The sequence below is a fragment of the Homo sapiens genome, assembly GCF_000001405.40.
Source record: "Homo sapiens chromosome 16 unlocalized genomic scaffold, GRCh38.p14 Primary Assembly HSCHR16_RANDOM_CTG1".
Taxonomy (NCBI): Eukaryota; Metazoa; Chordata; class Mammalia; order Primates; family Hominidae; genus Homo; species Homo sapiens.
Window position 1 is genome coordinate 953,506 of NT_187383.1, and position 23,481 is coordinate 976,986.

The 23,481-nt window shown below is 40.2% G+C and overlaps 1 long non-coding RNA gene across 1 annotated transcript; it reads right to left on the bottom strand.

Moving 5' to 3' along the window:
* Window positions 1-529: 529 nt before the first annotated feature.
* On the bottom strand, window positions 530-1,144 carry LOC105379537 (uncharacterized). Its single transcript, XR_951349.4, has 3 exons — window positions 983-1,144; window positions 780-900; window positions 530-676 (listed from the first exon to the last, which is right to left on the bottom strand). It is a non-coding gene; the product is annotated as an uncharacterized LOC105379537 (long non-coding RNA).
* Window positions 1,145-23,481: the final 22,337 nt, after the last annotated feature.

Sequence of the window (23,481 nt, forward strand, 5' to 3'; positions counted from 1 at the left end):
TAATAAATACAGGTTTGTAGAAAACTCATAAAAGGAACTAATTCTACATGTCCAGAATAGCCCATCCTAATTTTTCTATTTTACATCTACTGTAAATCAAACCGATTTTGTTCCATATTTTATAGCGGAACGTAAGATAAAATCCAAATTGTTAAATACGTGAGATTGATTATAAGCCCACCAAGGAGGTTTTTACTCAGTGTGGGAATTCAGAGAGCATGAAGTTGCAAAGACAGAAGCAAATGTTTTTGAATGAATTATGAGGGACAATACTCACAGGAGTGCTTCACACTTTTATCAACTGACTCATGTCATCTCACTTTAGGAGAAACTGCCTCTAATTTTAGACATTGGTTCGTAGCAAATGCTAAATGAACCAGCACCAAGTTTATATCCAGGAGAACTGCTTACTCTAGAGGATTTTGTCTCTTGGATAATGACATGATTCTGTCTTTCATAGGCTACTCCAAAACTTCTATAATGATGGTAGAGTTTAGTGAAGTGGAGCATCGGCATGCCATCCCCATGCTCCTGACAAGCAGCAGCAGCTAACCTAAGCACAGTCACATAGGGCATGCCATTGACACCCACCTTGCTGTTGTTCACCTCCACATACTAAGTTGCCATACACTTTGCAGTGGAATTTCACCTTACTGCATCTGGTTGGTCAGCAGTCCTGCAGGTAGAAAGAGTTGGTCAGGAGGGCACATTGAGAGAATAGATGGGAGCTCAGAGGCTGCCTAGCTCCCTGCACCCTGCCCACAGGCCACAGTCCTCACCCAGCTGTCCAGCATGCATGTCTGCTGAAGGCTGCTGCACTTGTTCTTCATCACAGAGGTGGGATGAAAGCAGTCTGAGGGCACCACACTCCATGATCAGGGTCTACTTCTGGTGCCATAGCTCCAGGTGGAAGGACAGGTAAGCAAAAGACAGGTCCCACCTTCCACATCCAGCCCACACTCCCACCAACTTCCAGGCCCACCTCAATATCCTGATGTGATGCTCTCCTTAGACCTCTTGTGGTTCTTCAGCCAGGAGATGGAGAGAGTGGGGTTGCTAGGAGCCAGGCAGTGAAAGTTGGTTGTGGTGGCCAGCATGGCTGGCAGTTTCCTGTCCATCCACTGGGGCAAAGTCCAGGAAGGGGTCTCTGCTGGTGGAAGCACACATGAAGGCCATAGCTGAGGTGAGGAACAGAGACCCATCTGACCAGACCCCCGATTCAAGATCACCCTGCCCACTCCGAGTCTCATGTTTTTCTCCTGTGTAGGGAGAGTGTTGACATTTCAAGGACATCTACTTGGGCTGAATGAGGCTCCCAGGAGCTTCAACACAATGTCCCCACCCAGTCATGCTCAGAGCTGGCAATGTGTGCCTTTCTATTCCCTCTGCTTCCCCCAAGTGGCTGCTCCTGCTGAGAGGCTGGGGTTCTTCATCCTGGCCTGAAAGCCTCAAAGAATAATGGAGTCTCAAGGGGATACCCCACCTGCACAGGGAGGCACATGGGGAGGGCCCACCAGGAAGGAGGCCCAGCAGGTAGCCCAGCTAAGTGAGTGAGTCAGGACAGGCATTGGGAGCAGTTTACCAGGAGAAGAAACCCAGCCCCTTGCAGAGCTGGGAGCCTCAGAAGCAGCTGAGAAGCCTTGGTCCACAAGCCTCTGAGCCCATAAGCCACCCCCTGCAGAGCTTCAGGGCCCGGCGGGCACTGGTGAGGATGGCGGCCTGGAGGCTTCGTCTCTTTTTTATCCTGACTTCCAGGGCTGTCACCATTCCCCCTCTCACACCTCAGCTAGTTTTTCTAATTTCTGGGTGCTGGGGTGGGGCTGCCTTCCTGCCTGGACTTGTGGGTAGGCTCAACTGCCTTACCCCCAGGAGAGAGGCACCAGGGGCCCAGGAAAGAGAAAGGAGGCAGCCGCTTCCCCACAGTGACCTCCTTGCCATTCACATGCAGCGACAGGCCCACCTTTCGGTGGAGGATGCTGAAGCACAGCCGGGAGCTGTGTAGAGAGACGCTGGGAAGAGGCACCAATCACAACTCTGAGCTGTCCTCTGGGATTCCAGGGGTGGGAGATGGGGACCCACTGGTGATTAAGACAGCTCAGCAAACTGTGGCACAGGATGTTCCCAGGACTGGGAGACAACAGTGACTCAATGCTGCTCACTTCTAGACTGTGCCTTCTTAAAGTGGCTCTTCAGTTACCCCCAGAGCTTGAGCCCACACCATCCTGGGATGGCTGGGTAGGCAGAGGTGAGCAGGGACTCAGGGGGAGTGCACAAGGGTGTGTGGGCAGGGGCAGAGGCTGTTGAGGCAGGTGAGGGGAAATTTTCATCCTTTCCTGTCTGCTCCTCCCGGGGTCTACTTTCCTCTCTTCCCTCTGCCTCTGGCTCCCTGGCTGGCTCCTCCTCACTTTCTTTCCTGCTCACTCCAGAGGTCTCAGGGGCTCAGCCCACCACCAGTGGTCCCCAAGTTGCAGCTGCCTCTCCCATGCCTATCCCATGAGGACCCTCATCTGCCTGAGCACATCTCTGGGCTCCTCTGAAACCAGAAGCCCCATCTTCCTGACAGACCCCTCCACAACTGGGCAGAGTTCACCTGCCACTGTTCCAGGCCAGAATGACGGAATTGTTCCGCTGCTGCTGTTTCACACCCACAGCCAATCCCCCACAAATGCTGTTGGCATCACTTTTACAACCCTCATGGCCACCCTGCCCTCCTGCTGGGCTGTAGCTTTTGTCCCCTCCATCCATCTGCCCCTTGGCAGCCACCTGAGCCCCCAAGCACTGCTGTGCTCACACCTACAGTAGCCACCTCACCCAGAGCCAACATCAAAGTCCCCACAGGCCAATCCTGGCCTCCTCACTGCTCCTGGAACCCCAGGACCCTGTGCCCCAGTCTCCCCATCTGCAGCATGTGTGTCTCCTCTGACCCCCAGCCTGCCCCACAGAGCCCAAGACATCCAGAGCCATCTAATAGATATGTAATACATATCAATTACATAATAATTCATGATACATCATATTATATACAAAGTACGATGTCATAATGTACTGTGATGCCATAATACATATGAAGTATAATGTCATAATATATTGTGATGTCATAACACATACTGATGATGATGTCACAATATACTGTGACGTGATAATGCCTATGAATTTTGATGTCATAATACATGTGCATTATGATGTCATGATATATTGTGATGTTGTAGTATAAATTATGATGCCATAATATATTATGATGTCATGTTGTGTGTGCATTATGATGTCATAATATATTGTGATGTCATAATACATATGAATTATGATATCATAATATGTTGTAATGTCATAATATATTTATTTATCACATTAATGGTATAATAACATAAACTTTGTCAGGTAATTTTACAAGAAAATTCAGTGAAATTTTGTAACAATATTAACATCTAAAGTAGCTTATAATCATGATGAAAAATGAAAGAGCTGCAGGAATCTCACATGGTAGGAGTTGAAACAGGAAAGATCAGGGAGGGATATGCTTCACTTTTAAACCACCAGATCTCGTGAGTACTCACTATGACAAGGACAGCACAGAGCCATGAGAAATCTATCCCCATGATTCAACCATCTACCACCATGCCCCACCTGTAACATTAGGGATTAAAATTCAATATGAGATTTGGAGGAGACATCTAAACTATATTATATGACCATTAGTGTGGGCGAAAGGTCACCAAGGTGCCAAGGCAAGAGACTGAAACAAACTGTTTCAGTATAATAAAGAAAATTGTTAGAATAGAATAGTCATAATACAAATTAGATATAGAGATGATCATGGGCAATTATCAATCATTATTATAAACATTATTAATCATTAGCTTTTAATATTACTCTTTATTGCATTGCTAATATAACCTAGGAATAACCGGCGGGTATAGGGTCAGGTGCTGAAGGGACATTGTGAGAAGTGACCTAGAAGGCAAGAGGTGAGCCTTCTCTCATGCCCCCATAAGGGCCGCTTGAGGGCTCCTTGGTCAAGTGGTAATGCCAGTGTCTGGGAAGACACTCATTACTTAGCAGACCATGAAAGGGAGTCTCCTTTCCTTGGAGGAGTCAGGGAACACTCTACTCCACCAGCTTCTTGTGAGAGGTTGGATAAATTATCCAGGCCTTCCCACAGTCATCCAGAGGCCTAAACCCCTCCCTGTGGTGCTGTGCTTCAATGGTCACACTCCTTGTCCACTTTCATGTTCTTCCCATACTCCTGGTTCCTCTTTGAAGTCTATAGTAGATAATGGTAGAAGGAAGTCTTAAAGTCTTTGTTCTTTCTTATAAGTGCATAGAAGGAAACGCTGACGTATGCTGCCTTCTCTCTGTCTGCTTCGGCTACCTTAGAGGGAAGGGCCCCCTGTCCTGTGATCACATGACTTGCTTCACCTTGTCAATCACTTAGAAGATTCACCCTCCTTACGCTGCCCCCTTGTCTTGTATGCAATAAATATCAGCCCGTCCAGCTGTTCGGGGTCACTAGTGGTCTCTGCGTCTTGGTGGTAGTGGTCCCCTGGGCCCAGCTGCTTTCTCTTTATGTCTTTGTCTTGTGTCTTTATTTATTATAATCTCTCGTCTCCGCACACAGGGAGAACACCTGCTAAACCCCGTAGGGCTGGACACTACACATTAGAAAAACAGATGAGGCTGGATACGGTGGCTCATGCCTGTAATCCTAGCACTTTGGGAGGCCGAGGCGGGTGGATCACAAGGTCAAGAGATTGAGGCCATCCCGGCTAACAGAGTGAAACATGGTCTCTACTAAAAATACAAAAAATTAGCCAGGCATAGTGGCACACACCTGGAGTCACAGATACTCGGGAGACTGAGGCAGGAGAATCACTTAAACCCAGGAAGCAAAGATGTAAGCTGCACTCCAGCCTGGGCAACAGAGTAACAGAGCAACAGAGCAACCAGCACTCCAGCCTTGGCAACAGAGCAAGACTCCGTCTCAAAAAGAAAAGAAAAGAAAAGAAAAACAGATGAAACATTCATGGTTTCTACAGATACTTTCATTCCAGAGTAAACGGATACACGATTGAATTCTGTGGTTAGAAGAGAAAAGGGAGGTGTACGGGGGACTTTGGCTGCATTTGTTCTACTTCCCTTATGCTGTTGTTGTGAGTTCTGATGTCACCACCTGAAGGGCTCTTCATAGACAGAAGAATTATGGCTATTGTTGTGATTATTCCTTTTTCTTTTACCTTAGTAAAAATAAATTTTTTAGCTTCTCATATAATTTTTTAAAAAACCCTAAGAGATTTAGTCAAATTCCTTGTTATTGTATGGTATAAAAATTGACAGGGAAATGGCTAAAATATATTAAAATTACACAAACTCTAGGAGTCAAGTTTCTATTGGGCAGTATTAGGAAAGACAGAACTGGAAACACTCCACCATAATAGACATCGAAGGGGGCCAGCCCCTCCACACCTGTGGGTATTTCTCGTCAGGTGGGAGGAGAGACTGAGAAAAGAAATAAGACACTGAAACAAAGTATAGAGAAAGAACAGTGGACCCAGGGGACCGGTGCTCAGCATACAGAGGACTCGCACCAGCGCTGGCCTCTGAGTTCCCTCAGTATTTATTGATCATTATTTTTACTATGTTAGTGATGGGAGTGTAGCAGGGCAACAGGTGGGGAAAGGTCAGCAGGGAAATATGTGAGCAAAGGAATCTGTATCATGAATAAGTTCAAGGAAAGGTACTGTGCCCAGATGTGCACATAGGCTAGATTTATGTTCCTCTTTACACAAACATCTCAGTTTAGCAAAGAGTAACAGAGCAGTATTGCTGCCAGCATATCTCACCTCTAGCCACAGGGTGGTTTTCTCCTATCTCAGAATAGAATGAATAGGAATGGTCGGCTTTACACTGAGACATTCCATTCCCAGGGATGAGCAGGAGACCAAAGCATTCCTCTTATCTCAACTGCAAAGAGACCTCCCTTACCATTTACCATGCCATCTCACTGCCTTGTCTGGTGATTTTGAGAACTCCTGTGTCCAGTTCAGAAGTCAGAGACTTCTATCCCATCTCAGTGGGGGCAAACCTTGGACAACACCCAGGCTTTCTTGGGCAGAGGTCCCTGAGGCTTTCTGCAGTGCATTGTGTCCCTGGTTAATTGAGAATGGAGAATGGCGGTTTCATTTTTCTTGTATGCAGGATGATTTTTAGGATTTTTTTTCTGTTATATTTTTTGCATTCTGGTTACCTAGAAGGTAGTGATTATTACCCCAAACCAGGGCTTGATATTGTGTTAGTCCACTTTCATACTGCTATGAAGAAATACCTGAAACTGGGTAATTTATAAAGAAAAAAAGGTTTAATGGACTCACAGTTCCACATGGCTGGGGAAGCCTCACAATCATGGCAGAAGGCAAAGGAGGAGCAAAGACATGTCTTACATGGTGGCAGGCAAGAGAGAGAGCATGTGCAGGGGAGCTCCCCTTTATAAAACCATCAGATCTTGTGAGACTTATTCTGTTTCACAAGAGCAGCACAGGGAAAAACCCATCCCCATGATTCAAGTTCCTCCAACTGGGTCCCTTCCATGACATATGGGGATTATGGGAGCTACAATTCAAGATGAGATTTGGGTAGGGACATGGCCAAACCATATCATTCTTCCCCTGGCACCTCCTGAATCTCATGTTCTCACATTTCAAAATCAATCATGCCTTCCCAACAGTCCCCCAAAGTTTTAACTCATTTCAGCATTAACTGAAAAGTCCATAGTCCAAAGTCTCATCTGAGACAAGTCCCTTCCACCTATGAGCCTGTAAAACTAAGAGCAAGTTGGTCACTTCCTACATACAATGGGGGTACAGGTATTGGGTACCCCCAATGTATTTACACCTGTTCCAAATGGGAGACATTGGTCAAAACAAAGGGGCTACAGGCTCCATGCAAGTCTGAAATCCAACAGGGCAGTCATTAAACATTAAAGTTCCAAAATGATCTCCTTTGACTCCATGTCTCACATGCAGGTCACACTGACACAAATGGTGGTCTCCCATGGCCTTAGGCAGCTCTGCCTCTGTGGCTTTGTAGGGCACAGCCTCCCTCTTGGCTGCTTTCACTAGCTGGCATTTTGTATGGCTTTTCCAGGTACACAGTGTAAACTGTTGGTGGATCTACCATTCTGGGGTCTGGAGGATGGTGTAACTACCATTCTGGGGTCTGGAGGATGGTGGCCCTCTTCTCACAGCTCTTCTGGGCAGTGCCCCAGTAGGGACTCTGTATGGGGGACAGAACCCACATTTCACACCTCTACTACCCTAAAAGAAGTTGTTCATGAGCCCCTGCGCCCGCCCCTGCCCCCCGCCCTGCCAAAGCAAACTTCTGCCTGGACATGCAGGTGTTTCCATACATTCTCTGAAATGTAGGTGGAGGGTCCCAAACCTGAATTCTTGACTTCTGTGCATCTGCAGGCTCCACAGCTTGTGGAAGCTGCCAAGGCTTGCGACTTGCAACCTCCGAAGACATGGCCTGAGCTGTACCATGGTGTCTCCCACCCAAGCCATGGCTGGAGTGGCTGGAATGCAGGGCATCACGTCTCTAGGCTGCACACAGCAGGGGGACCTGGCCCTGCTCCAGGAAATGATTTTTCCATACTAGGCTTTTGAGCCTGTGGTGGAAAGAGCTGCTGTGAAGATGTGAAGGTCTTTCATGTCCTGGAGACATTTTCCCCATTGTCTTGGTGATTAACATTTGGCTCCTCGTTACTTATGCGAATTTCTGCAGGAGGCTTTAATGAAAGTCGGTTTTTCTTTTTTCTTTTCTTTTTTTTTTTTTTTTGTTGACGGAGTCTCACTCTGTTGCCCAGGCTGGAGTGCAGTGGCGCAATCTCGACTCACTGCAACTTCTGCCTCCTGGGTTCAAGCAATTCTCCTGCCTCAGCCTCTCGAGTAGCTGGGACTACAGGTGCACGTCACCACACCTGGCTAATTGTTTGCATTTTAGTAAAGATGAGGTTTCACCATGTTGCTCCAGCTGGTCTCGAACTCCTGAGCTCAGGCAATCCGCCCGCCTCAGCCTCCCAAAGTGCTAGGATTACAGGCGTGAGCCACTGCGCCCGGCCAAGGGTTTTTCTTTTCTATTGCATTATCAGGCTGCAAATTTTCCAAACTTTTATGCTCTACTTCCTCTTGAACACTTTCCCACTTAGAAATTTCTTTCACCAGATACCCTAAATCATCTCTCTCAAGTTCAAAGTTCCATAGATCTCTGGAGCAGAAGCAAAATGCCACTAGTCTTTTTTGCTAAAGCTTAACAAGAGTCACCTTTGCTCTAGTTCCCAACAAGATCCTCATCTCCATCTCCGGCCCAGATATTAGGGTTTATATCACTATCAGCATTTGGGTCAAAGCCATTCAACATGTCTAGGAAGTTCAAAAATTTCCCACATTGTCCTGTCTTCTGAGCCCTCCAAGTCTCTAGGAAGTTCCAAACTTTCCCACATTTTTCTGTCTTCTTCTGAGCCTTCCAAACTGTTCCAACCTCTGCTTGTTACCCAGCTCCAATGTCGCTTCCACATTTTTGGATATCTTAATAGCAGTACCCTACTCTGCCAGTACCAATTATTGTCTTAGTGTATTTTTATACTGCTATGAAGAAATATCCGAGACTGGGTAATTTACAAAGAAAAAGAGGTTTAATGGACGCACAGTTCCAGGTAGCTGGGGAGGTCTCACAATCACGGCCGAAGGCGAAGGAGGAGCAAAGGCATGTCTCATATGGTGGCAGGCAAGAGTGTGTTCAGGGGAACTTCCCTTTCTGCCCCGTATAAAACCATCAGATCTTGTGAAACTTACTCACTATCACAAGAACAGCACATAGAAAAACCCAGCCTGATGATTCAATTACCTCCACTTGGGCCCTCCCAGGACACATGGAGATCATGGGAACTACAATTCAAGATTAAATTTGGGTAGGGACACAGCAAAACCATATCATTAATATCTAACAGGAAATGATCATTTTTTAAATGATTCTTCTACCTTTGAGAAATTGGCTAAGGCCCTTTCTCTGATCTGCAGGGGATGCACAGCTCCTCTCAGTAGTGAGCAAGTATTTATTGGAATAGCTCAGCTAAGCTAAAGTGGAGACCTCTAGTATTTTGTTTGGCTTGTCGTACAAGACATACACAATACCTAGCATGCACGGATAATGCAGCGTGCTGGTGGTGGCAAGAATGAGTGCTACTTTATAGATTATTGATGTTACTGCTTTCTGGGTAGAGGTTCTAAAGGAAGGCTGTATTTTACTCGAAAAATAATCTTCAATGGCCAGTTGGTATGATGCAAGTTGCTTATCAGTAGTTTCCTGTTTTGCTTTATAATCCCTCTCTACTGGCTCCCCAAACTTATTAAAATCCCATTGTATGAAATAACAATGTAACATAGGGAGGGAAGGAAAGAAAAGAGGCTGAGTTCATGCTTGGAGGGAAGCAAGAAGGGAGAGAACAATGCCAGCCAGGTCATGTGGCTAAGACCTGGGCCACTGGAGTTACAAATTGCTAGACTGGCAATTCTGCTGCCTCCCCTCCCAGGGCTTTTCTTGAGTGAACTGTGTGCCCAGGCCTGACAGGCACCTGACACATGGTTGGTTGGTTGGTTGGTTTTTATTGTATCCTCTATCTTTCTAGGAGCTTAGTATGTAAGATATGTGAGAGTGGCTAGGACCTGTCCCCTCAAAAAGTAAGAATGGAGCCGTAAAGGAGTAAGTGTCCATTTTCTGGGACACTCCGAGAGTCTGACTCAGGGACAGGCTGGGAAGAGGCAACTACCGTCTTACATGAGTTTTATATTGAGGAAATTCTTCCATTTCATAAAACAAAATATGGATGGGCCAGTTTAACTTAATTGTTCTTATAGTTAGTAAAAATTCCTTCTAGATTAGTCTGCATATTGGGTGTCAGTTTTACTAATTAGTGTTGTTTTAAGTTTACATTGTTTGCTTTGTTTTACTGATTTTTTTTTCTTTCTTTTTTAATAGGAACTTAGATGGGACTCCATTACAAAGGATCATCCAGATGCTGTTTAAAATTGGGCCAATTCAGCATTAAAATGAAATTACACATTCATGGGATTTGTTACGAGAGTCGGTACTGTTTTGGAGTGATTCATATAGCATTTATAAGGACCAACTCTGAGAGAGATAAATCATTGGTATAAATTATTTTTTAAGTTACTTTAGTATCAGTCATATATTCACTCACATAACAAATATGTATTGAGCTCATCTGGTCCAAGGAATTTGCCAAGCCCTGGAACTAGGGAATGATTTAAACAGACATACTACTTGACCTCAACAAATGTACAGTCAAGAAGGAAGTTATGAGCATTAAGCAAATGATTGCACAATTAATACTTAATTACAACAATGATAAGTGCATCCTGGAAAATAAATGTTATCAATCAATAGGTGCAAGGTGTCAACCTAAATAACGAACAGAGAGAGACTCTGTAAAGAACACTGGGTTGGGGATAGGGTATTTCAGTAGGAATACATGTGCCATAGTCAACTATGTATGCATTCAGGGAGGTAAAGGAAGACAAAGGTATTTAAAGAAAAAATGTGGAGGATTACACAATTGTTTTGACATAGTTATCCTTGATTACAAGGATCAATAACAAGGGTGGTGCCAGTCCAAGGTTGGACAGGCATTTGCTGGACATATGTCCTTGCAGAAGTGTTTTTTTACAAGGTTGCAATGGCAAGATTGTGGTTTTTGCAGTCTTTCGTGATAGTTCTTGTTATCAGGCATATGTGCGTGAGAATTCTCTTTTCATGGCCTTCTCCAGCTGCATTTGGCATGCTCTTCCTCCTCCTCCTCTTCTTTCTTCCCTCCTCCTCCTCCATCAAATACTTTAAAATATACAAATTTTTATTTTGTGATTCAACAGAACATAAAATGAGATTGTTGGACAGGACTTTAAGTTGGAATAGAGACAAGATTGAAACTGTGTTATGCTCAAATTCTAATGGCTTTTTAAAACAGTAATTACTACAGAGTTATTTTCATTAAGAAAAAGTTATTTAAAAATCTTTTCAAGCTTCATATTTCTTCCACAGGCCCAGGAACACAGCTTGTTTGCTATTCAAAGTAGAAGTAAATATGGAGAGTGCTGTGTGTGTGTGTGTGTGTCTGTGTGTGTGTTTATTTTAAAAATTTATTTAGTTCTTATGTTAATATACCTTGCATTTAGGAATACTAACTAATTTGTTTGGTAAAGTCAAAAAGAAGAGCAGCCAGAGAGGTGTTCATAATGAAAGCTAGGAAAATCAGCTTTTGACTCATTTGATAGCCTCCCACCCCTGATTCAAAAATACATGGACCACATATCAAGGCCACTCAACTCATAGAGCGTTGGTGATGGGCCTGACTTAAAGTCTGAAAATTGCATATGTAAAACCATGTTCTCTATAAAAATACACACATTTGCCAAAGTCAGGAAAGGAAAAAAATTCCATTAAATCTAGGTTCAATAAGTGTATTAGAAAATATTTAATTAACTATCTCTGTTAAAACACATCTTGTGACTGCTGTTCCCTCTCTCATTGGTGTTTATTTGCTGGTAAAGTGCTCACTCATTTTTTTTTTTTTTTTTTTTCGAGACAGAGTCTCGCTCTTTCGCCCAGGCCTGAGTACAGTGCAGTGGCACTATCTCGGCTCGCTGCAAGCTCCGCCTCCCGGGTTCACGCCATTCTCCTGCGGCAGCCTCCCTCCTGCGGTAGCTGGGACTACAGGCGCCCGCCACTGCGCCTGGCTAATTTTTTGTATTTTTAACAGAGACGGGGTTTCACCATTGTTGGCCAGGATGGTCTGGATCTCCTGACCTCGTGATCCGCCCTCCTCGGCCTCCCAAAGTGCTGGGATTACAGGCGTGAGCCACCGCGCCCGGCCTGTGCTCACGCATATTTGTTTGCTGTGTGGTGCAGTGCGACCACACGGTTCTTCAGACACAACCTCTGCTTTCTCATTTACCTCAACACTTTAACCCTGAGATTCTTTTTTACTATACTTCAGTATATTTCCCAGAACATATATTGTCTATGAGGGATAAAATAAAATGTCAATTAAAAACAAAAAAATTCAGAGAAATATTAACCATTCACTCTTCTAAGTTCTCAAAGGTTACATTCTTCACCAAGTCATATAACCAGGTCCCAATAAAATACCATCATGGAGGCAATGTAACATCATGTAATTTAAAATACCATCATGCGGGCAGCTTTCAAAAGCATCCTGTAAGAAAAGGTCATTTGTACTTACATCTTTAAAAGTTTTGAAATTACTATTGAAGATTATTTTTATTGTATTGTCCATTGTCTGTTGCTTAAAGACTTATATATTTTGCTTAAGAGTTTAGAGTTACCAAAAAATAGCTGCTGACATATGCAGATACTATTTTATTAACTAACGACACCTATTTGAATTCTGGTTTTCCTTTTGGCCCTAAAGAACAAGAGGCTTAGGACTAAATTTTAGGCTGAAGGGTAGTGTTTCCTTCCCTAGGTTGTCCCATGTAATTGTCACCTCCTTCTCTTCATTATTCTGTCATTTTGCCCTTGTTTTATAGCGTCTGTGCCTTTCATTCTAAGCTGTCTCAGAGGCTTTTCTGGAAACACACAGTGTATAAGTACAAAATGATGAAATAAACATGCTTCTTTTTTTTTTTTTCTTTTTTTTTAAGACGGAGTCTCCCTCTGTTGCCCAGACTGGAGTGCAGTGGCAGGATCTCGGCTCACTGCAAGCTCCACCTCCCGGGTTCACTCCATTCTCCTGCCTCAGCCTCCTGAGTAGCTGGGACTACAGGCACCTGCCACCATGTCCGGCTAATTTTTTGTATTTTTAGTAGAGAGGGGGTTTCACCGTGTTATCCAGGATGGTCTCGATCTCCTGACCTTGTGATCTGCCTGCCTTGGCCTCCCAAAGTGCTGGGATTACAGGTGTGAGCCACCGCACCAGGCCAACATACTTCTTTATTTTGTTTTAAAAGATACTTGAGTGGGACTAGATGACCTCTAAGGTCCTTTCCAGCTCTAAATTTACGTTACTGTCACCAAAGACAAAAAAAAAAAATCTATTAGGTTATAGGTCTAGAGATGAGTGCCAAGTACTATATTCCTGCTCTAGGTGCATTTCTTGTTGAAGGCAGTGACCTGTTCGGCCGTTTACAGTCTTATGGTGATAAAACAAGAGAACTGATTTCTAAAAAAAAAAAAATTCAGTTGAAATACCTTTTTACTCTTAAGGATCAACAAAAATAAATAGAAACAGAAGAGTTGAATTATTTATTTTGAGCTATTTGTAATAAATTTGGACAACAAAGCTAAGCCTGAGTGTAGTTAATTTAATGAAATTAGTCATATTTGAATATCATCACAACCTTACTATCACATTAGCATTCAGTGTGATTAAAATTTATTCTTTGTTTCTTTGTGAGTCTCCACAGAATCAGCTATCAACAACTTCATAATAAACTAGCCCTTCATTGCTTTCAGGAAACTTTTAGATTCAGAGCAGGTGGTTGGACTTCTGCTTTCAAAGAGAACAAATCATTTTTTAAAGTGCCTTTCCTGTTTGTGTGTGTGAATTTAGAACACAGAAATTGTCCATTGCATTGTTTATTTTTGCTAGGAGGTAGAAGTTATCAAAAATACAGGAAATACTAGATATCACGTACTGATAATTTTCAAAGCTAATTATTTCTCTTAAGGCCAAGCTATAATTTAAGAGGTGTACTTGTGAAATATGAATATTGTTTTATAGTAATAGAATGTTTCTCACGGAAAAATAGAGTATGATTTTGTTGAAGTTCAAGGGAATATCCATTTTCATTTAGGTAGCTTCCAGATTTTTGTCTTTACATGTTCTGTGTAGTGATTTAAATACCGTACCTCCAAAATTTATGTCCACTAGTAACTTTAGAATGCGACTTTATTTGGAAGTAGGGTCTTTGCAGATATAATTAACCCAATGATTGAGATGAGGTCATCCTGGATGAAGGTGGGCCCTAAATCCAATGTAAATGTCCTTATAAGATACAAGAAAAGACACACGCAGAGAAGGTCATGTGAAGATGGAGACAGAAATTGGAGTTATGCAGTCATAAATCAAAGAAGGCCAAGGATTGCCAGGAGCCACTGGAAGCCAGGAAGAAGCGAGGGAGAATTCCTCCCTAGGGTCTTCAGAGGGAGTATGGCCCCACCAACATCTTAGTTTCAGAGGTCCAGGCTTCAGAACTATGAGAGAATATATTTCTGTCCTCTTAACCCACCAAGTGTGTGATAATTAGGTATGATGGTCCTAGGCAACTACTACACTCTAATTCAGAAGTTCTTCTGGATTTTATTATATCATGTGTTGGTAGGAAGTACCTGGGTGTTTCATTTGCATGATATGTTGGTAATCTTAGAATTATCATATCTTGCAAGTCATTTTTAAGTATGTTGTAATGTAGTCAGAAGCTTTTTAAATATGAAATTTAATTCTTGCTGGTGTCAATTACATTTAAAAAAATACAAAATAGCTATATAAGATTCTAGGATCTTTCAGAATTTTATAATGTTTATAATGGAAAGTTGGTTAAATAAAAATTGTACCCTACACAATTTTGTTGTTGGCTTAAAATAGCATTTAATTTATTAGTGCTCAGATAATAGTTATCCCCTCAATAGCATTTTTACTTTCATATGTTGATATCAAACAGTGAAGTGAGACAGCAAATCAGTACAACGTGGTGATTATCAAACATCATAAATCCATGAAGGATAGCGTTGATCTTACTGAGAAGAGTTTAATTTTAAAATGCATACCTGGAAAAGGCAAGTTAGATTAACATTTCAAACTCATATAGCATTATCTGATTGATTATAGTTATGATTGATCATTTTATGTTTGGACCATCACTTTGAATCCAATTGGGATAATTATAAATTAAGGATTTATTATTTGCTTTGAATTTTAGATTAAAAAATTTAAAACCATAAAAACAGAGCTTTGACTATAATAAAGGTATTTATCCTTTCTTGGTAAGAATTGGGGAGAGATTTAAGAAAAGGCTAAGCAATGTTCTATTTTTTTACATAGGCAAAAGTTCATTTGTGCTACTTTTTAATTAGGTAGTTTTTTTTTTTTTTTTTTAATGACAGCTTCCTAAACACTACTGATTTTACATGTGCAGTCATTAGTTTTTCATGTGGAAATATTATCTTTCAAATTCACACAGCAGCTTATTTTATGAAATGCAATGGGACTACTTACTTGCCACCTGACTAAACTGGAATGCATAGATTCATACCTCGCCAAATGAGGAGTTAGGGTGAAAAGTGATTAATATCCATTCTTTAATGAGTTTCTAAGTCTTTCTGAACATGTTTTTATTCTATTTATTGCAGTGGTATGTTAACATTTTCGTGTTGGTTGCTGTACAAAGCATGATAATACCTTTATTAAAGTAATGTTAATGACATCAAAATACTATACTTTTAGTGTGAATCTGAGCCAAATTCTGTTGTATTCCAAATAAAGTGAAATTCCTGTCAGCCAATAGGGCCTGGTATCAGTTTCAAATAAGACAAGTTGGTCAGGTCAGGAGAAATGACTTCCTCCTTCCTCCTTACGTGCCGTATATAGATTTATTAGCACTGCCTTTTAATATGTTATGTGTTCAACAGAGAGGGAACTAAGATCTTGTTAATCATCATTTGAAAACAATTTTGTGAATGGAAATGTAGCAGGGCTTTTGCCTTTTTTCCTTGTTCATGAAAAACAAGTCGCGCTTGGGGAGCAAGTATTCCCGTTCAACTGCTGTCACTCATTCTTAGCTCTGTTTAGAAGAAATAAGCACAGATGGTTGGTCTACTACTTCCCCAACGAAAAATTTGCCTGTTGGCTGGGCGCGGTGGCTCACGCCTGTAATCCCAGCACTTTGGGAGACCAAGGCAGGCGGATCACAAGGTCAGAAGATCGAGATCATCCTGGCTAACACGGTGAAACCTCGTCTCCACTAAAAATACAGAAACTTAGCTGGGCGTGGTGGCAGACGCCTGTAGTCCCAGCTATTTTGGAGGCTGAGGCAAGAGAATAGCTTGAACCCGGGAGGCGGAGCTTGCAGTGAGCCGAGATCGCGCCACTGCACTCCGGGCTGGGCGACAGAGCAAGACTCCATCTTAAAAACAAAACAAAACAAAACAAAACAAAACTGCCTATCTTTTTTATGTTTTATTCCATCCTTCTCATTGTAATGTGAACAATATTTCAAGTGAAGAAACATCTGTAGGGATCTTTGAAATGTTTTATCCATTGCTTGTGCATTAAAGAGAAAAAGAAGAAATTAATGATTTATTAAAATTTCATGAGGGGAACTCAAAAACTCTTTGTTACAAAAAAATTTAATTTAGAAACAGTGTATTTTGCATGCAAAATTAAAGTCTTCAGGGAAGTAAGTTTTTATGTCAGACTTGGATCCGAAAGTACTCATTTAATGATGACAGAACCACTTCATCCACGTCATGTTAAAAATACTGGTGTGGGTCTTTTTTATTTATACTGTGGCTTAATGAAAATTTGTCTATGGTAAATATATTAAGAAAAAGAGCATAAAGACTTTTTAACATAATTTTCTAAGGCTGAAAATATGTGCAAACAGTAAAATACCCAAATCTTAACTGTACAGCCCAATACTTTTTTTGTTTTTAAACAAACTTAGCCCTTCTGCGTATCCAGTACTCAAATCATGAAATTTTATATTATTACTTCTTCTAGACACTATTTCATAGGGTAGCTCCTATGGTAATTTGGAACATAACTGATTAGTTTTACAATTTTTAGTGGATTAGATCATAGAATATGTTCTGTATCTTGCTTCTTTCATTCAATATTTAGTTTATAAGATTTGTCAATCTTTTTGCATATAGTTGTAACTTGTTAGTTCTCATTGCTATATACTATACCATTATACAAATATAATGTTCAATTCGTGGTTATTTTGAACGGTGCTTCTCTGAGCATTCATGTATTTGTCTTTTGTAAATATTGCTGCGTATATGCTCAGGGTCATAGAATATGGTTAGATTTAGCACACATGGGAAATGGTGGTGTCCGTCAGTTTACATTTTCATCCACAATGGGAGAGAGTTCCAGTTGCTCCACATCTTTGCCAACACTTGGTATCATTTCTCTTTTTCATTTGAACTGTTCTGATGTGTATGTGTCACTATTTCAATTGTGGTTATTTTGAACATTACAAAATTGGCAAAGAATAACTGATTTTATTAAATCATATTTCATTTGAAGTAATGTGTGTCTACTTTGCAGTATTTTCCCTTATTTACATGATTCATAAGAAGAGTGATTGTGAGATAGTCAACAATATAACAGCTTGGAATGAGATTTTTGATCAGCTATAATTCTAATGTATTTTATCTAAATATTATTTTACTGTATTAGTAACTGTGATCATTAAGAACAGAAACAAAAGGTAAGCAAGTCCTTAGATTAACATGAAACAACATTCCTGCCTTTTGAAAGAAACTTTTCTGGCCTGTAAGTAAATGATGTAAATCAATTAATAGCTTAACTGAAATTAAGAGATGAGTCTCAGTTTTCATTGCCTATATTATATCTGTGTTTCTGCAGGAACAGAAAAACAGTATGACAAACCTACAGTCTGCTAGTTTCTTCTCACCCTGCCAACAACTGTTATATTACTGTTTAGCTGGTTATATGCAACCATTTGTTGAGGAGGATTGTTTTGTTTTGCTTAGTTTTACTTTTTAAGGCAGAGTCTTGCTCTGTTGCCCAGGCTTGAGGTCTATGAGTTTTATACTCATAGTCACATGGTCAATGAGATGTAATCACAGCTCACTGCAGCCTTAATCTCCTGGGCTCACATGATCCCCCTGCCTCTGCTTCCTGAGTAGCTGGGACTACAGGTGCATGCCACCAAACCCAGCTTGTTGAGGAGAGTTTTGATGAAAATCATTCATCCCTTCTTAACTACAACCAGTGAAGCCTTAGAAAATGTAATTAGAGAAAAAAATAACATTTTTGCACCAAGCTAATTGTATCTTTACCTTTTATTAGTTGGTTTCAGGATTGACACTTATTGATGGTTCTATTTTGGAGTGCGCTTTCCCTGGGTTTAACTCCTTGCAGCACACTTTATATACACTGTGTGGCCTTACTTGAGTAACTTATGTTACTTAACTTCTCCAGATCCCAGATTCTCAACCTGTAGAATGGAAGTAATTATAATACAGATATTATATGGTGGGTTAGTCCAGGTCCTCCAAGAGGTAGATGTTGAAAACGAGTTATACACAAGAGGATTTTATTAAGGGAAATCCCTGTGAGAGAAAATGGAGAGGAAGCTGAGTAAGCCTGGAAGAGCTCTCAACTATGAGGCAAGTCTGACCTAGAATGAAGGAAAGAGGAAAGGAAGGTTGAGTGGAAGCATTGGAGCGTAATGTGCAGTCTAAGGAAGGGTACGAAAAGGCTTCAGGAATCCTGAGCCAAGACTGGTCCTCAGAGAAGCCCTGTGTCTCCTAAAGAGGGATGTGCATTAGCCACCTTGTGGCCCTCAGTCATTGACTGAGGGGCAGATGCAGAAACAGATTTTAGAGTGAAGCAGCAAGTGGCCATAGGCAGTTAGGCTTCCCATACTTTGAGGTCTATGAGTTTATTTATTTATTTATTATTTATTTATTTAAATTATACTTTAAGCTCTGGGTTACATGTGCAGAACTTGCAGTTTTGTTACATAGGTATACACGTGCCATGGTGGTTTGCTGCACCCATCAACCCGACACCTACATTAGGTATTTCTCCTAATGTTATCCCTCCCCTACCCCCCACCCCCCACCCCCCACAGGCCCCAGTGTGTGATGATCCCCTCCCTGTGTCCATGTGTTCTCATTGTTCAACTCCCAATTATGAGTGAGAACATGCAGCCTTTAATTTTCTGATCTTGTGATAGTTTGCTGAAAATGATGGTTTCCAGCTTCATCCATGTCCCTGCAAAGGACATGAACTCATCCTTTTTATGGCTGCATAGTATTGCATGGTGTATATGTGCCACATTTTCTTAGTCCAGTCTATCACTGATGGGCATTTGGGTTGGTTCCAAGTCTTTGCTATTGTGAATAGTGCCACAATAAACATACGTGAGAATGTGTAGAATGATTTATAATCCTTTGGGTATATGCCCAGTAATGGGATTGCTGGGTCAAATGCTATTTCTAGTTCTAGATCCTTGAGGAATTGCCACACTGTCTTCCATACAATGGTTGAACTAATTTACACTCTCACCAGCAGTGTAAAAGCATTCCTATTTTACCACAACCTCTCCAGCATCTGTTGTTCCCTGACTTTTTAAGGATTGTCATTCTAACTGGAGTGAGATGGTATCTCATTGTGGTTTAGATTTGCATTTCTCTAATGAAGTTCTATGAGTTTCTTACTCACGGTCACTAAAAGATGTTTATTATGAATGGAAATCTCCAGATAGAGTAAAGCAATGCCTAAATCATAGTTATGCACTTATCAATTTATTTATTCATATTATTCATTATCATTATGAATATTCAACACATTAATAAAAGAGCCACATATGCAATCTACTTAATCTACTTGGGGTATTGGGAGAGTAAAGAATAACATAGCAGTGCTACAGATAATTTAAGAAATGGTTTCTCTCTCTCTCTCTCTATATATATATGTATGTATATATATATATATATATATATATATATATATATATATGAGACACAGGTATAATTATTTTCCTTCTACTATTTGTTATTGATGTATACTGCCAAATCCCTAACGGAAACTGGAATAGTTAACTCTAAGCTCCCCCCATGCCTACAAAAAGAAGTGGGTTCAAAGTCATTTTTTAAATCGAAAGATTTATTAATATTATTTTTATCATGTCCAATTGATATTATGATTATCAAAAAGTTTAATCACTTATTATTACTTGAAAGACCTAGTTAGGAAATGTTCAATCCACTTTTTTTCTTTTGAGACAGAGTCTCACTCTGTCACCCAGGCTGGAGTGCAGTGACGCGATCTCGGCTCACTGCAAGCTCCGCCTCCTGGGTTCACACCATTCTCCTGTCTCAGCCTCCCGAGTAGCTGGGACTACAGGCGCCTGCCACCACGCCCGGCTAAGTTTTTGTATTTTTAGTAGAGATGGGGTTTCACCATGTTAGCCAGGATGGTCTCGATCTCCTGACCTCGTGACCTGCCCACCTCGGCCTCCCAAAGTGCTGGGATTACGGGCGTGAGCCACGGCTGCCGGCCTGTTCCACTTCTTAAAACTGGTCACTGGAAGTACATCGTCTTGGGAAGAACTGGATATTTCTTGAAACCCCTTTCATATAGCCATATTCTCAAACATAGAACCTTCTTTTATGTTTTTCAAAGATTTTTTCCATTACTGTAGAAAATTCAGAGGGTGTTTATGGATAGTGCAGTACTCTGCTCAAATATAGGGAATGAAAGTTACATTAAAATATTTTTTTTGCTGAAAAGTATTACGATATTTAATGTAAGCAAATTACTCAGATGATAGTGTTTTGTTTTAACTTTTTAAATGTCTTATTTCAATAGCTTTTGGAACACAAGTGGTTTAGGTAACGTGGATAATTTGTATAGTGGTGAAGTCTGAGATTTTATTGCACCTGTCACCTGAGTAGTGTACATTGTACCAAACATGTAGCTTTTTTAATCCCTCACCCGCCTGCCAACTTCCCCCTTACGAATCTCCAGAGCCCATTATACCACTCAGTGGAGAGTCTTCAACATTCACGGTGGAATCTTCAGGATGTGACCCTCTATCCATTGCTTTCCACCGTTTGTACTCTCTGCTTTGTAAATAGAGGTCCGTTCTCCCTGTCTGCCTTGTTCACGTACCTTTGCCGTTTTCCTTGCTAGGATGACATCGTTTGCCCTGAAGTTCTCATTAACCATACCATAGATGTCCTCTTCTTACCTCAATACATCCAAGGCTACCTCAAGTTATAACTTCTCCTTTAGTTTTTCCCTAGTGTCTGAGTCCAAATGGACTTCTCTATATCCAGAATATCTACTACTTGTCTTATTTTTCCTCACACTTGGCACGTGCAGTTCCTTCCAGCTACTTTCATAATGTTGTATTTTAACGGTTCAGTTGTGTTTATATTTCACTATTCTGTCAGGCAAACAAGGGTATTCGCATGGCTGAAATCTATGGTATTTTTTAAGTGTAATAAAATGTAATGAATAAACATACAAATGAATGAGTTAATTAATATATTATATTCTTGGTTAAGTAATAAGCATTATGAGGACAAAAATTGAGTCTTACACCTTCTTATAATCCTAAAGACCTCGTACAGGACTTGGAATATAGCATGCACTTAAGACATCTTTGTGACTAATGAATTTAAATATTTTTATTAATTCTAAGTTGACATATGATTGTAATTTGGGGAAGGTAGTGAAATTTCAAATGGCTTTCACCACCTGTGAAATGACCCTTTTACATACCACATGATTTACCAGATCTTTGTTTAGGTGAACCTAGGTGAAAGCGGATTGTTTCCTCTACTTAGGAAATACTTTGCGTATTTTAGTTGCTTATAAATGTGATGATTTTAATTTGTACAGTTATAGTTTATGATATTGACTTGTACAGTTATATATATGTTTACATATTATATATTGCATATGGTTATACTATGTATAATTTTATTTTTCTAAAATAAAGAATATTATTACACATTAACAAAATAGATATAACTGTTTTCCTTCTACTATTTGTTATTGGTGTATACTGCCAAATCCCTGATGGATACTGAAATTCTTATCTCTAAGCCCCTCTATGCCTACAAAAAATGGGTTCAAGGTTATTTTAAAAATCAAAGAGTTTATTAATAATATTATTTTTTATCATGTCCAATTGATACTATCATTATTAAAAAGTTTAATCACTTATTTCTTGAAGGACTTAATTAGGAAATATATATAATGTGTGTGTATATATATATGGAATATATATATATACTCTATATATCCTATATATGTATTCTCTCTATGTGTATCCTATATATTCTCTATATATATTCTATATATATATATTCTCTATATATTCTATATATTTATTCTCTATATATTCTATATATATTCTCTATGTATTCTCTCTATATATTCTCTATGTATTCTCTACATATTCTCTCTATATATTCTATATATAATTCTATATATAGTCTATATATGTATTCTATATAAATACACACACACACACATATAGTAGCCTAATATTTAAAACATAAGATTGGGACTGCCTAAAATAAGCTGACCCAGACCATAGGGGTACAGACATACGTATACTTCAGCAAGAACTGGTAACAAAGTGAGATATATGTTAACTCTTTGTAGCATATTGTTAAGTAGTATTAAAAAACAAGTAATTTTTGGTTGGGTCCATTGAGAGAATAACAGTATTTTTAGAATGATCTAATGGCACGATAAACATTTTAGCATTTTACCTGGAAAAACATTATAGCTGTGCCAGTTTCTGTTCCAAGAAAAAAATACATTGGTGTATTCTCTAAAGGAGGAAATTCTGACCTCAACTATGTTCAGATAGCTGTGGCAGATAATACTCTGATCAGGTACTAAGTCATATATCTTTCACATTTCCCTTTGCTAGTTATACTCAGCGTGTGGTTGGAAATGGAATCAAAGCCCAGTCTGGAACTCCTGAAGTCAAAGTCAAAGGAACTGATCCTGTGATAAATCAGATTATTGATAAACTGAAGCATGTTATTCAGGTAAGTCCTGATCCTATATTTTTTGGTATAGCCAATAATAAATAATAAGTGGTTACTTTCTGTTATACTTGATAAATTTGTTAATCCTATCAGATAATCCTACCTAAAATATTGTAGCACATTATTTACATCAGGACTTTTGGAAAGATTTAGTTTAATGATTTTTGTATGCAGTCAATATGCAGCTGTAATTTAATGTTGGACAATCTGTATATGTGAAAAGCAAGCCTCAGCCTCGGCCTTTCAATGATGAGAATCTCAGGACATGCGTTGTCCTCAGTGAATAACTTTGAACATGGGAATCACTGTGACCATTAAAGAAAACACATATAAGGCCATGGAAGATGCCAGAGTTATCTTTCAGGTAATTCTCTGAATGTTGCTCTAAGGTTTTTGCAGCATTTCAATACAAGTTAGGTCATAGATGAAGAATATGTGTTTCTAATATTGATTTACAATATCACCTTTCGTATGTTATCTTATAATCTACCTAATGGTTGTTTATGAAATACTTCTGTCTTATCTTCAATAATATTTTTCATCAAGTGAATGTGTATTGCTGTTTTTAATACATGGCAAATGAAGCATGAACATATTTATCAAAATAATATTTCATTGAAATAG